We start from the raw sequence: 15566 nt of genomic DNA, 5'->3' as shown, positions 1-15566 counted from the left end.
GATTATTTGCTAATGGAATTTGAAAGAAAAAAAAAAAAAAGAAGAGGTACAATTAAAGAAGATAAAGATTCAAGTTAGCACCTCACAGAGAAAACAAATTGAGAAGTTTTTTTTTTTTAAAGAACAAAATAAATGATCAGGAAAGTGAGAGTTAAACTGAAAATATCTATGTAACTTCATGATATTAAAAACAAACAAACAAAACAACTCTTTCCAGCTCTGTCACACAAGTGGCTCAACAAGGACAGCCCTCCAATCCATCAGCAGCAAGTCAACATTCTGGTGCCCAGATTTAGGTTAGACCTTAACAGGGCTCCTTGTAGAGTGGCTGATTCCAAGTCTTCGGGCAGGGAAAAATCAAGAGGGACCTGCAACACCAGGTTTCAAGAAAGCAAAGACCACTTCAAAAGGTCTGAGGTAGAAGTGATAAGGTATATAAAAGCCATCTTAAAAGGACTACCATGCACGTACCATGCACTGTGTTGTGACAATTTGAATATCCAAAAGAGTACAGAGTTAATAACGGTTAGAAGAGACAAGGTGAGTCTGTAAAGGCCATGAATCTTCAATGACTATCAAAATGAAAAGGGCAACCAAGTGAACAGGGCAACTGATATATAAAGGAAGGGAGAATATATTAGGAAGTTATTTTTAATCCATTTTAGGAAGCAGCAGAGGTGGATGTGTATGACTGCTGTTTCTGCCACTAATACCTTTTATAAAACAGTGTACAAATATGTCTCTAAGTAGGATGGCTCTGAATAAGCCAACCCTACATGGAAGGAGGAAGCAAGTATCAAGAACAGAAAGGTCTGATGCTGTGGGCACAGACTATACTCGGGTAGGAGCAGGATCAGCCCCAGGGCTGTAAGGTGACGGATTGGCCAGAGGGCTCCAGAGGAGAGCTGACTGCCCACACTGGGGCCCCAAATTCCTAGAAAATAAAAGCTCAATAAAAGCTGCTAATGATAACAGTAAGACACTAACAAAACTCGTACATGTTTTCAAACATGTTCCAGGTGAAGTGTGTCATTTGGATGGGACACCAGGTCACAACCACAAGTCGCCAAAGATAAATAATCTGTAATTTCAGGAAAAGACATCAGGTTGAAGGTGGCCCCTCCAAAGATAATGTCCACCTGGAAGCTGTGAAGGTGGAAAAAAGGTCTTTGCAGGTGTAATTCATTTTCTTCTTTTTTTGTTTTGTTTTGTTTTTTAAGACAGAGTCTCACTCTGTCACCCAGGCTGGAGTGCAGTGGCGCAATCTCAGCTCACTGCAACCTCCACTTCCCAGGTTCAAGCGATTCCCCTGCCTCAGCCTCCTGAGTAGCCGGGAGGCATGCGCCACCATGCCCGGCTAATTTTTTGTATTTTTGGTAGAGACAGGTTTTCGTCATGTTAGCCAGGCTGGTCTCGAACTCCTGACCTGAAGTGATCTGCTTGCCTCGGCCTCCCAAAGTGCTGGGATTACAGGCATGAGCCACCGTGCCCGGCCCTGCTGGTGTAATTCAGTTAAAAGTCTTGAGATGACATCATCCTGGATTGAGGTGGGCCCTAAATCCAATGACAAGTGTCCTCAGAGGAGAAGAGGAGAAAACGCCCACAGAGGAGAGGGCAACGTGAAGACAGAGCAGAACCTGGAGAGATGCGGCCACAAACCTAGCAATGTCGAGGATGGCCGGCAGCCACCAGAAACTGCAAGAGGGGCAGGGAACAGATTCTCCCTCAGAGTGTCCAGAAGGAACCAACAGTACCAACACCTTGACTTTGGACCTCTGGCCTCCAGAACTGTGAGAGAATAAATTTCTATTGTCTTAAGCCACCAAGTTTGTGGTAATTTGTTACGGCAGCCCTAGGAATCTAACACAGCTGCTGAGATCGTATTTTCTTTAATATCTATTAAGATTACTAGATCACTGGAAAAATATAAAACAGATTCAGAAATTCACAAAGAAATGAATTAAACCCACAGTACTGATGCTTATATTAAGTGTGAGTATCAGGAGTTTTGCTGTCATTACTAGAACTACATGTTCTCTTTTGTAAGCATTTAAGAGAATCTAATAGATTTGGTCTGTGATGTTAAGGCAGATCCAATTAAACATATTTGTAATCAAATTTAAATGTTTAAAAGAATTTAATAAAATTTCTAAGTTTGTACTTATTAGTTGGGTGAGTATATGAATATTTCAATTTATATAATATATTAAAAAGATGAATGAACACTAACAATTGAGCAATAAAGTATATAAATGATGCAGTTATGAGTTTGCCCGAGTGTCTCAGACCTCACAGATATTGCCGCATCCCACCTTCCCCCATGCCTCACAGGTGATCAGCACAGGCATGCCCAGGCCCCGATGTGGCCATCTGAACAAAACAACTTCCCAATTCCTATGCATCCCCAGTGCTCCACCTTACTGCTAGCACACAGAGCCCTCCGAGGTCCCAACCCCCCTCTGGAACCTGCTTCCAGACTCCAGAGCTTTCCTCCCTGTTAGTCAGGGCACCTGTATGCCGGGCCAGCCAAGAAGCCTATGGCAGAAGAGAGGAAGACCCGGAAGAGGCTTCCTAACCTTCCGTCCTTGAGGGGGCCATAGGACTCACATGAAAGACAGCCTTACAAGCAGGACTTCCTTCCACTTGCTTCAGAAAATTAACTGAGCAGGGTGCTTCTTTCTGCAGAGTTCTCTTTCTGATCTTTATTTTATTCATTTATTCAGAGATGGAGTCTCACTCTGTCGCCCAGGCTGGAGTGCAGCGGTGCGATCTCGGCTCACTGCAACCTCCACCTCCCGGGTTCAAGCAATTCTCCTGCCTCACCCTCCCGAGTAGCTGGGACTACAGGCATGTGCCACCACGCGTGGCTAATTTTTGTATTTTTAGTAGAGACGGGGTTTCACCATCGAGCCAGAATGGTCTCGATCTCCTGACCTCATGATCCGCCTGCCTCAGCCTCCCAAAATGCTGGGATTACAGGCATGAGCCACTGCGCCCAGCCTGATCTTTATTTTTTAAAATGTTGCCGCTGCCAGTCACTGAGCACCCACGGCAGAAGGCAGACTGCTAATGAACAGCTTGCTGTCAACTACCCCCTCCCAAACCATCTCCTCCTCATTTCAGGCACAGGCACCAACCCACCTCCAGGGGAAGGTGGGGGAACAAAGCTTGGCTTTTAGAGAACATATCCAAAAGCAGGGAGATGGCATTTGGCAGAGCACTGAGGAGCCAACGTGCATCCTGGCCTCGATGTAGTTCTCATTAAAATCAACCCTACCTCTGAGAAGGACAGAGAGAAGAAAAAGGGCTTGGGTGTGGTAGCATCAGTACACGGCCTGCATGGTTCTGAGTCTGCCTCCTGCCAGCCTGGGAGGCTGTATGGGAAATCTCACACCTATGTCCAGCAAGTCACGTAGCAGGTGCCACAGGCCTCAAAACACAAGTGAACCAGAAGCTCAAACGGCCCCGTATTCCATTCACGCCAAAACTCAGCTGAACCACAGTAGCCTGGGCCCATCACGGGAGGTGGAGTGTGAGCTGAGCTGTCATGTCAATTTCCCACCTGAGTCCGTTCCAGCTTTGTCTTAGATATGCTGAAATAACATGAAAAAGAAAAATCTGTACAGAATTGCTTGCCAGGCATTTTTCTTCTTAAAAAGAAAAAAATAAATACTCAACATTGGAATCGGGTTTGATGACAAAAAATGAAACCTGGCAGGTGACAGGTGACAAAGTAAGTAAGCCCAGGGACCATGAGGGTAGGTCTGCTGACCAGTATGAGTACCTGGCTGCAGTGCTCACTAGACACTGTGAAAGGCTCCTGGTGCTGTCGTGCACCCTGGTATGAGGCTGCCTTTGATTACTTCCCCAAGACGGGCACCCTCAATTCCACTCAGCACCTGAGACCCAGGCCCACACCTGGGTGGAGGCATCATGACTGCATTTGGCTAATGTAGAGAAAGTGACTGTGCTCCAGGGTGTCTCTGCTTCTACCTTTGATCCTGCAGACGTCTGTGTCAACTAACAGTGGTGAAAAATGGGCCCAAGAAAGAGACCGCATACGTGAGCAGTAAGAGAAGAGAAGGCACAATTCTCAGGGCTCACTTAGGTCCTTGCCTGTAAACAAAATGGCCCCAGAGCTTAGGGATGACAGAAAGGACACAGCCAGAGTACTTGGGCATTTACACAAAAGAAATTCTTGATAACTACTTATAAATACATTATAATGTATACATCTTGCCATTAGCTTTGTTAGCAGATGATAATGAAAAGTTCCTGGGAATTAGATCCCCTTTCCAACTCAGCACAACCCCTACTCCACCCCAATAATTTATCCTTCCTTCCTTCATTCAACCCTGCCTCACCACGCACACGTCTAGGTGACAACAGACTCTTTGATGTTCCAAGAGGTACCCCTCCTCCAAACACACACACACACACACACACACACACACACACACACACACACACACCCCCTATGCTTTCTTTTAGGTCACCACCTCATAAAATAATAAAATTATGACCACACTCCCCTTCAGAAGGTCAGCACTGTGTGCTATTTATTCATTTAATTTATATAGGTGTACTGCATTTTGTGGTGTCTGTACTTTTTTTTTTTTTTTTTAATAGATATGGAGCCTCACCATGTTCCCCAGGCTGGTCTCGAACTCCTGGATTCAGGCAATCCTCCTGCCTCAGCCCCCGGGAGTGCTGGGATTATAGGTGTGAGCCGCCACATCTGGCCAGTGTCTCTATTTTTGTTTCACTTAGGATTTTAATTAAAATGAAGGCAATCTTTGGAAAGTGGCAACAAATAAAACGATCTTGTTATTCTATACATGAGTTTTAAATCTTGTTTTGTTTTTATGGAAAAAGATAAGGAAGGAGAAAGCTTATTTTTTAAATTTAAAAATATGTCTTTGCATTTTCGCTTATTTAAGAAGCATTCATTAGGCACCTATTCAATACAACGCCCTGGGAAGAGGATATTGGCCCATTCAAGCAGACATGGACTCTGCTCCATTAATTTACTCTCTGAAGATGAAAATTATTTTCGACGATTTGTAATCTACTAGAATTTAAGCCTTGTACATATCTATATCTTAACAAGAAAAGTCCTGTGTAATTTAAAACATGCTTAGAGAGTTAAGTGCATATGTCTATAGGGTTCTGAGAATACTTATAAGATGTTCCTACATTATCACCTGAAAGCAATTTAACAGCACTTGCATTTGAAAAAGAAAACCACACTACAATTTCTATAAAACAAAAATTAAAGGTCCCTATTCTCTTAATGCCTATTTTGCAATACAGAGAAACTCAAATTAAGAAATGGTCATAAAACAAAAAACAATTTTAAAAAACTTCATCATGGGATACCATTAACTAGAGAGTGAAAATCTCTCAAAGAAACATTCAGAGAACCATAAAATATTTAATGCTGATTAATTTCCAGATAAGAAACCGAGTCCCAATGCAGTGATAAGTGATTTGCTCAAGGTCACATATTTAGTCCGTGGATGATGGAGAAATGGCCCTCTAACGCAGGACTGGTGGGTCTCCAACCACTTTCTCTCCTCTCAGAGGCACTTGGAAGAAGAAAAGCTTCACTATAAAGCAGCGTTACCCAACCCACACAGAGATATCAACTACTCCACAGGGATCAGGTGCATCTATCAATTCTAGCTAAACTCCACAAATAGCATACGTTACTGCTTTCCCCCACAAAACTGCCCTTGGTCCAAAGTTTGAGAAGTTGATCTCTTGATAACTTTGAGTTTAAGGGAAAAAACCCATCTTTCTTGAAATGATATGCCATATTCACATAAACTTTAGTCATCACCTTCCTGACCATTACCTGTTTGTTATTTTCCAAACATTCACTAATGAATAACAACCTGCACAAACTAAGAAAGAGGTAAGACATCCCTCCTCAGGTATCGGATAAAAAAATCTTTAGGATGTGTTCAGGCTTCTTAAATAACCAAATTCAGTGTTTTCAGGCAAATTGCTTGTAAGTACTATCTGGCCTGATATCCAGAAGTAAAAGGGTATTCACCCATGTGTTATTTGGGGAAGAAACAGAAATAGCCTGGATTCCTAATAATAGATGAATGGTCAAATATAAATGACAGAATATTAAGCAATGCTGAAAATTGTGTTTTTCAAGAAATTTAATGCCAAAGGAAATGGTCAACATACAATATTTATTTAAAATGCATTATGTCCTTAAATAAATGTGTTGCAGAAAAAAAAAATCTAGAAAAAAATCTCACAAAAAGTGAGTGGTGGTTACTATGTTAGTCATCTTTTTGTTTTTATTTTCAAATCACCTAAAATCAGCATACTTTTGTGATAGAAATATTATTTTGTCCAGGCACGGTAGCTCACGCCTGTAATCCCAGCACTTTGGGAGCCTGAGGTGGATCACCTGAGGTCAGGAGTTTGAGACCAGCCTGGCCAACAGGGTGAAACCCTGTCTTTACTAAAAACACAAAAATTAGCCTGGTGTGGTGTCATGTGCCTGTAATCCCAGCTACTCGGGAGGCTGAGGCAGGAAAATCACTTGAACCCAGGAGGTGGAGATTGCAGTGAGCCAAGAACACGCCACTGCACTCCAGCCTGGGCAACAGAGCCAGACTTCATCTCAAAAAAAACAAAAAGAAAGAAAAGAAATGTTATTTATTTATTTATTTATTTATTTTTTATTTATTTTTCTTTTGTATTGAAACAGTGTCTCACTCAATTGCCCAGGCTGGAATGCACTGGCATGATCACAGCTCACTACAGCCTCGAACTCCTGGCTTAAGTGACCCGCCCACCTTAGCCTCCTGAGTAGCTAGGACTACAGGTATGCACCGCCTGGGTAATTTTTAAACATTTTTTTATAGTGATGGGGGTTTCCCTATGTTGCCCAGCTTGGTCTCAAATGCCTTGTCTCAAGCAATCCTCCTGCCTAGGCCTCCCAAAGCACTGGGATTATAAGTGTGAGCCACAAAAATATTATTTTTAAAATCTAACTTCTTTTAAAGATCATTCGTGTTCATTACAAGGCCAGGTACCAAGAGCTGAAGAACAGGGTAGGTGCCACAATTCTCTAAAACAGTAACACACATGCCTGCTTCCTCACTCTGAAAATCAGAAATGGACCCTATCTCCCAATGCCATGTCATCACCAATGAAGTCACAGAATCTTCCTTAAACCCACCAAAAAAGTAAACCAAAGTACACAGAGGTTCCATGATTTCTTTATGATGATAGAGAAACAGGTTTCAGAACCAGGACTGAGGTACAAACTTAGCATCGATGGATTTAGGAGAACAGGGGAAGGCACCTATGAGAATGGACAGGGTCATTGGTGAGGGCCTGGCGCATGTCCACCCCGAGTTTCTATGGAAGTCGGGCAGGTGGTAAGAACAGCTAGTGTGAGGATGGCAAGCACACGTTCAGTTTCTATGACATTCTGGCAACATATTCAGGCAGTAGAGAGAAACGTAGCCATCACCTGCAGAGAGGCAACAGCCAAAGCAAAGAAGATGTAGGCAAGAGAAGACCCCAAGCCAGAGCACTGACAGATGACCACATCTAACCACACCAAAAAGAAAAAGGGACTTAGCTAAAAACAAAGACAAAAAGCCAGGGATGACTAGTCAGACGAGGAAGAGAGCTGGGATGTTCCCACACACAGTCCAATTCCACACAAACACAGGCCGAAAGTAAAACTCCCAGTGGGAAATACCCTGGATGAGACTTTTCATGTTTTTTTGGTTTTGTTTTTCTTTTTTTGTAGAGATGGGGTCTCGTTTGGTGGCCAAGGATGGTCTCAATGCCTGGCTTCAAGCAATCCTCCCACCTCGGCCACCCAAAGTGTTGGGATTACAGGTGTGAGCCACTGTGCCAAGACTTTTCATATTCAATCATCACCGTGGTATTCCCTCCATCAAGAGAGCTCAGAAGATGACATCTCATAAGGAGGTTCCTTGTCTTGGCTAGAGGTCAACAAGGAGTACCTGGAAATACAGAGACAGCAGCAGCACATTCCTCCTTCAGCTGTGCCAGGTACTGGGCTCCACCCTCTGTACAGAAGAGGGAACAAAACTAACATGATCTCTGCCCTCAAGGCACTCCCTATACAGCAGGGGACAGTAGGTGAAATGAGCATAACATGGTAGGTAGGTAAGGTAAGGGCGGGTTCTGAAGTTACAAACACTACCTGGCATGAAACACAAGAAGTGGAGAGGTTTTCCTAACTAATCCCTGCTTCTCCAATTCCTCTGACAAGCCTGCACTTGCCATGGCCCCCAAAAACCAGCCAGGCATGGTGGCTCCTGTCTGCAATTTCATAGCTTTGGGAAGGAAAGGCAGGAGGATTGCTTGAGGCCAGGAGTTCGAGGCTGCAGTAAGCTATAATTAATGCCACTGCACTCCAGCCTGGGTGACAGAGCAAGACTGTCTCTAAAGAAAAAAAAAAGGCCAGGTGCAGTGGCTCATGCCTGTAATCCCAGCACTGTGGGAGGCCGAGGTGGGTGGATCACGAGGTCAGGAGATCGAGACCATCCTGGCTAACACAGTGAAACCCCGTCTCTACTAAAAATACAAAAAAATTAGCCGGGCGTGCGCCTGTAGTCCCAGCTACTCAGGAGACTGAGGCAGGTGAATGGCGTGAACCCAGGAGGCAGAGCTTGCAGTGAGCTGAGATCGCACCACTGCAATCTAGCCTGGGCAACAGAGCGAGACTCTGTCTCAAAAAAAAAAAAAAAAAAAAAAAAAAGAGACCAGGCATGGTGGCTAACACCTGTAATCCCAGCACTTTGGGAGGCCAAGGCAGGTGGATCACTTGAGGCCAGGAGCGTGAGACAGCCGAGGCAACATGGTGAAACCTTGTCTCTACAAAACATTTTAAAACTAGCTGGGCATGGTGGCATGCACCTGCAGTCCCAGCTACTCGGGAGGCTGAGACAGAAGGATCACTTGAGGCCAAGAGGTCAAGGCTGCAGTGAGCTGTGATTGCCACCACTGCACTCCAGCCTGGGCAACAGAGCAAGATTAAGGTAAGGTAAGGTAAGGTAAAAGGAAAGGAAAGGTAAGGAAGAAAGGAGGAAAGGGGAGGGGAGGGAAGGGGAGAGGAGAGGAGGGGAGGGGGGAAGGGGAAGGGGAGGGGGAAGGGGAAGAGGAAGGGGAAGGGGAAGGGGAGGAAGGAAGGAAAGGCCCACAGCCTGCTGATACTGCCGACCAGCTGACCACTGTCTCATGTGCCTAGGCATCTGGGCTCTTGTGAATTGAGCATTTTCCCAGTGGAAAAATGGTCATGTGTGTGTTCCCAACCTGTCTGTTCACGCCTGTTTTGCTTATTAATGTAATTATATCAATGTGTTTATTATTTCATCAATAGTATTAAAAGTATTCTTTTTAAAAAAATTTTTAGTCCATTTACATTGCTATAAAAAAAGTGTTACATCTGCATAAACTAACTTTAATATCTTGAAACAAGGATTAAAAGGCCAATTCAATTTAGATAAAACAATTGTAATATATTTGAAAAATTGTTTAAACAAAAAGAGGATTATGCACTACAACAAATCTAGTGTCTATGTCCTGCAGTGCTCGTAAAGGTAAAGCATTTAGCACAACGCTGGCAAGTGGTAAGCACTCAGTAGATGTGAGTCATTATTATAATTATTGGTTATCTTTACATAAGCAAATAAAGATTGATGAAAGCTATGAAGGCAGGAAAAAGGCAACGGAAGTGGGGGATGCCACAGATGGGGTGGTCAAGGAAGGCTTGTCATGGACAGCACACTTCTGTTGAGAACCAAAGAACAGAAAAGAAGCTGGGCACAGCAGTATGCACCTGTAGTCCCAGCCTACTCAGAAGGCTGAGGCAGGAGGACTGCTGGAGCCCAGGAGTTCGAGGCCAGCCTAGGCAACATATCAAGACCCAGTCTCGAGAAATAATAAAAACTTTAAAAACAAAACAAAAAAAGAAAAGGAAGAGGGGTAGCGAGGGAGCGGCATGATCCAAGGTCATGGGAGTTTGGTGTATTCGAGGGTCTGGAAGCACTGGTGGGGCTGCTATAGGGTAAGGAGAGGGTGGAACGAGGCTGGCTGGATAGAGCCAAGAGCCAGGTCACAGAGTCTCCGAAGACCCCGCATTTTATCCAAAGGGCAATGGGAAACAAAGGAGCGGCATGACCCAGTTGGATTTCAAAAAAAGACAAGCCAGGCTGCTGGGTCCAAAGAGTACAGCAGAGAAGCAAGAGTGGAAGCTGGGAGAGCAGTTACAGCTGTCCAGGGATGAGATGGCAGTAGCTTCATCAAGGGTGGCAGCAGCCAGGTCAGAGAACGGGTCTGGGATATATCTGGAGGAAGAATTAACAGGGCCAGTGGATGGCCAGGAGGATACAGAAATGGGGTAAACCACGTTGTATTTATTAAGACAAATGTGTGTGGAGGGGGAACAATCCACTTTCCGCAATGGATGAGTTAATAATCTCAGTATGTGGGTACATGAGGCTGAGGGAGGAAGGGAAGGTCAGGGTGGGCATACATTTGGCAGTCACCAACATGTGGCTGGTATTACAGCCTTGGGAGAGAGGATATAGACAGAAGCAGGCTGGGCACGCCAACATTTAGAGGAGTACATCACAGTCACCTGAGGATCAATTAGAATGACTATGCCTGACGGTGGGGCCTGGGGAGGATATATAGTCAGGCCTCTGTATCCACCACGGATCAAAAATATTCAGGGGGAAAAAAACAATATAAAATAACAATACAAAATTTTAGGCTGGACATGGTGGCTCACTCCTATAATCCTAGCACTTTGTGAGGCTGAGGTGGGAGGAATGCTTGAGCCAAGGAGTTTGAGACCAGCCTGGGCAACATGGTGAAAACCCTGTCTCTACAAAAAAATATGAAAGTTAGCGAGGCATGGTGGCATGTGCCTGTAGTCCCAACTACTGGGGGGCTGAGGTGGGAGGATGGCTTGAGTCTGGGAGGTTGAGAATGCAGTGAGCCAAGATGGCACCAAGGCACTCACTCCATCCCGGGTGACAGGAGAAGACTGACTCAAAAAAAAAAAATACACCAAACAAAAAAAAAAAAACAAAAAACATAGCATTTACAAGTAATACAAGTAATCTAGACTTAGAGTATATGGAAAGATGTGTACAGGTTAAATGCAAATACTATGCCATTTCATATCAGGGACTTGAGCATCCATGGATTTTGGTATCTGCAGGGGACTGGTTCCAGGGCTGGTTTTTTCCTTTTTCTTTTTTTGAGGCAGAGTCTCGCTCTGTTGCCCAGGCTGGAGTGCAGTGGCACGATCTTGGCTCACTGCAACGTCCACCTCCTAGGCTCAAGCAATCCTACCACCTCAGCCTCCTGAGTAGCTGGGACTACAAGGTGCATACCATCACACCCAGCTTTTTTTTTTTTTTTTTTTAATTTTTTGTAGAGATGGGGTTTCATCATGTTGCCCAGGCTGGTCTCGAACTTCTGGGCTCATATGATCTGCCTGCCTTGGCCTCCTAAAGTGATGGGATTACAGGCGTGAGCCACCACGCCTGGCCAAGGATTGTATTTTTTTTTTAAATTTTATTTATTTTTATTTGTTTGTTGTTCATTTTTGAGATGGAGTCTCACTCTGTCACCCAGGCTGGAGTGCAGTGGCACAATCTCGGCTCACTGCAACCTCTGCCTCCCGGGTTCAAGAGATTCTCCTGTCTCAGCCTCCCAAGTTAGCTGGGATTACAGGTGCACGCCACCATGCCTGGCTAATTTTTGTATTTTTAGTAGAGATGGAGTTTCGCCATGTTAGCCAGGCTGGTCTCAAACTCCTGATCTCAGGTGATCCACCCACCTCAGCCTACCAAAGTGCTGGGATTACAGGCATGAGCCACAGCGCCTGGCAGACTATATTTTTTAAAGCTCTAGGTGCATCAGGGTTGACAGCCACTGATTTGGAAGCTCAGAGGAAGAGGAAAAAGAAAGAACTGGTGAAAGAGGCTGGAAAGACTGTCCAGAGAGACAAAAGGGAACTCTGGGGGCAAGTGAGGCACTGGGAGCCAAGCCAGGAGAGTGACCAGAAGGGAGCGACCACTGTGTCGGCCCTGCTCAAGGGTCAAACAGGATGAGGGGAGACAGGAGCCTCCAGGTACAGTGGTGGAGGTAGAGGGATTCCAGTTAAACTCCATGCCAGATACTCCGGGTCCTCATGCCTTATCTTGAGCAAATTCCCACTCTCCTGGGATGAGCCCTGCATGAGTAAAAAACATGAGGTTCGTTGCCCCATAAAACCAACCGTATAAACGCTTGCTATGTCTGTGACCGTGTGGACACAAGTGAATGAGCAAAGGTGAAAATGGGGGTATAATAATATTACTGTAGGTTCTACTTTATGGACACAACTCTAGAGTGGTGAGGAGACCTGCACACAATTCCTGGCCCCACATACCCTGGCTGTGCAAGGCTTAGCAAGTCAATGCACCCCGCACCTCAGGGGCCCCATGTGAACAATGATGGTTGGACTAGATTAAAGGTCTTTGTTGTTGTTGTTTACTTTTAAGTTCAATTTTTAAAAGTTAAAATGGCAAGGGGAGCTGGTTTAATATGCAGGTTCCCAGACCCCCCTCCCTCCTCCCACATAAGCAAAGTAAGCAACTCAGGGTAGGATGGCACCGAAGGCCTCAAGAGCTGCCTGCATTGGTCCAACCCAGTGCAAAGTCCTTGGGTTAGGTCACGGAAAAAAATAAATAGTCCAGGAGATGTTTTTATCTCCTTAGTCAGAAAACCTGAGCTGAAATGCAAACAAGTCCTCAAAGGATCAGAGGTAAATACCAGTCACTCAGTAAATACTGTTGGCTAATTCCTTAATATTACTTTACAGTAAAAGCAAACGATGGAACAATATTTTGAAACTCTTATTTGCTTCATAACCTTCTCTTCTTAGGAAAAAGCTGCTCCAGGTAAACTCAGGGAGGGTGGTCTGCAGATCATATGCAGGTGAGATATGGATTTTTTTTTTTTTCCCTCAATCAATGCTCCTTAACCAAAAAGTTACATAGAACAGCCCCTGGAAGAAGGGACCAAAAAGAGTTGCATAGCCACCTAAAGACCAATGCAGCAGCTTTCATGTCTGCTGTCTGCTGCGTGTTATGTGACTACAAAAGTCTATAGCACACACTGTCATTTCCACCAGGGATTAGGGAAGTGTGACCTACAAGCCACAGGATGGAGGTGAAAATCACAGGGAAAAAAGAAACCTCATCTTCAAATTAAGCTGTATCAAGCTAAGTGTCACTTGGGACAATGCCCTGAGCCATGAAAAAAAATGAATTTTGAATATGTTAGACATATATTTTATTTATTTATAAATAAATAAGCTACTGACAGATTTTGAAACTAAGGTTTTGATGGGGTTTTTGCTTTTTTTGTATTTCACCAGATGAATTTCATTCTTAAACAAGAAGTTTTCTTGTCCCCTTTGTAGCTAATCTGAGATACTGGGTAAGAGATGGAGTCAGACCAGACAAACTAGGTCTGACTCACCTTGCTAGGTATGTGACTTTTCCCTAACTTCCCTGAGCCTCGCCATCCTCATGTGCAGAATGCAAGAGTATTAAATTCAGGCCACTCTGAGGATTACCCAGCACACTGCAAGTACCGTACGTTGACTATGCTTTCTCCCAAATGTCCCATCGTTGTGGGTATATTTGTTTTGTGGGTCATTTTAATTTTCTGTGTTTCTCAGACTCAGGAGTTACAAGTCCACCTGACTGGGAGAAGCACTAAAACTTCTCTGAAAAGGTCATTGTACCACCTGGCAAAGGTGGATGCCCAAAGCTTTCTCGCCTCTTCTTAGGAAGTCAAGTGAGGGCCAAATTTAAAAGGTAAAGCCGCGTTTCTCCACTCAGGGGGAGGATGTGCAGGAAGGGGCTGTGTCTGCTCTGATCTGCATAGCAATGTGTAGCTGGCCCTCTTCTCTAGGATTTCTCACGTAGGGGAGCGTATCAGAACCCCAGCGCTCCTTATCCCCATGCCCGCCCACAACCGAGAACCTCTGCCCTAATCGATGCAGGCTACCTTGTCTTCTCACACGCCTCAAAACTGATACAACATACTGGTGAGTCACAGCATCTCCAGGGTTACACACGTGTAAACAAACACACGAAACCCAAAAAGGATACCATGCACACAGCAGGACTCTGAACCTGTGCCTTCTGGTGACGCTCTGCCAGTTTGGCAAGGCTCACAGACCCTTTCCTCAGGAGAAAGCTTTGAAGACGTAAAATACAAAGGACTGAAAAGGAAAACAATTCCATCTAAAACTTGAAAAACTCTGGGATATTAACAACGACAAAAAAAGGCTGTGATATCTGATAAGTGCTTCTTTATTAAAGAATAAAAGAAATAAAAGATCTAAATAAATAAGACAGAATTCCAGTGTATTCCACAACACTCAGCCTTCCACACGTCCATTTCACCTATAACAAAACAGCTCTACCCAACTGTGACATGAAATAAAAGATCTATCAGCACATTTAACAACAAATGTAACTTCATGGCAGTGATGAACAAAGGCAGTTATTCAAAGTAACTGCTTCCACTGAAGCATGACATGAAAATATCTGTGATTTCTACTGGTGACAATATCACAGGTCCTGCTAATACCACTGTGCCTATGTGTGTCTATGTTCATAACTAAAGGAAATGCTGCATTTCAGTTAGAAGTTAATAAAAATAAAAGTAATTTTTTTGCTCCTTTTTAAGTGCATGGAACCCCTAAATTCTCTCTACAGACCCTTTAGGGGTAGCAGGACCTTAGTGAGAGAGCTCTGCTCTACAGGGTCCTGTATTTAAGAGTTAACACCTGATCGTTCAATTAACAGATATTTAGGAAATAGCTATGTTGCTCTAACTACAGGAACCACAGAAGATACAGAATTAAGTTAAGGCTTGGAGGCAAGCAGGCTCTAAGAACTTTCAGAATCTCTGCTCAATGTTTATTTTGGTTCTTCCAGTTTTATCATAAGTTGTGTTATCTACTACCAGGATTTCTCCTTTTTTCTTAACTGTATAACTAAAAACAAAGCAAACAAACAAAAAAGACACTCACTCTCTGTTCAAGTCTACTGTTTGTTTTTTCGTTTGTTTGTTTGTTTGTTTTGAGATGGAGTTTCGCTCTTGTTGCCCAGGCTGGAGTACAATGGCACGATCTCAGCTCACCACAATCTCCGCCTCCCAGGTTCAAGTGATTCTCCTGCCTCAGCCTCCCAAGTAGCTGGGATTACAGGCATCTGCCACCATGCCTGGCTAATTTTTATATTTTTAGTAGAGATGGGGTTTCTCCACGTTGGTCAGGCTGGTCTCAAACTCCCAACCTCAGGTGATTCACCCGCCTCGGCCTCCCAAAGAGCTGGGATTACAGGTGTGAGCCACCACGCCCGGCCTCAAGTCTACTGTTAAACAGATTTTAGAAACTGTGGCTCAGTGTCATGGAGTAAACACTGAGCCTTTCACACATCCATTTCACCTATGATAAAACCAGCCCTACCCAACTGTAG

The 15566-nt window shown here is 44.2% G+C and overlaps 1 protein-coding gene across 24 annotated transcripts in view, besides 1 other annotated feature; it reads right to left on the bottom strand.

Annotated features, from left to right (window-relative positions):
• Positions 1-15566, bottom strand: part of TRAK1 (trafficking kinesin protein 1) — a 212798-nt gene that overhangs the window by 82542 nt on the left and 114690 nt on the right. The window lies entirely within an intron of this gene.
• Positions 8415-8576: a silencer, noted in NCBI's record as "fragment chr3:42176265-42176426 (GRCh37/hg19 assembly coordinates)". NCBI's record gives its function as "represses an EF-1alpha promoter that drives an FKBP-Casp9 reporter gene in an ReSE screen in HepG2 liver carcinoma cells {active_cell/tissue: HepG2}" and the evidence as "EXISTENCE:reporter gene assay evidence [ECO:0000049][PMID:32094911]".

The sequence above is a fragment of the Homo sapiens genome, chromosome 3 (assembly GCF_000001405.40).
Source record: "Homo sapiens chromosome 3, GRCh38.p14 Primary Assembly".
Taxonomy (NCBI): Eukaryota; Metazoa; Chordata; class Mammalia; order Primates; family Hominidae; genus Homo; species Homo sapiens.
Note: the sequence above shows the minus strand (reverse complement) of the source record. Positions and strands in the feature narration are given on the sequence as shown.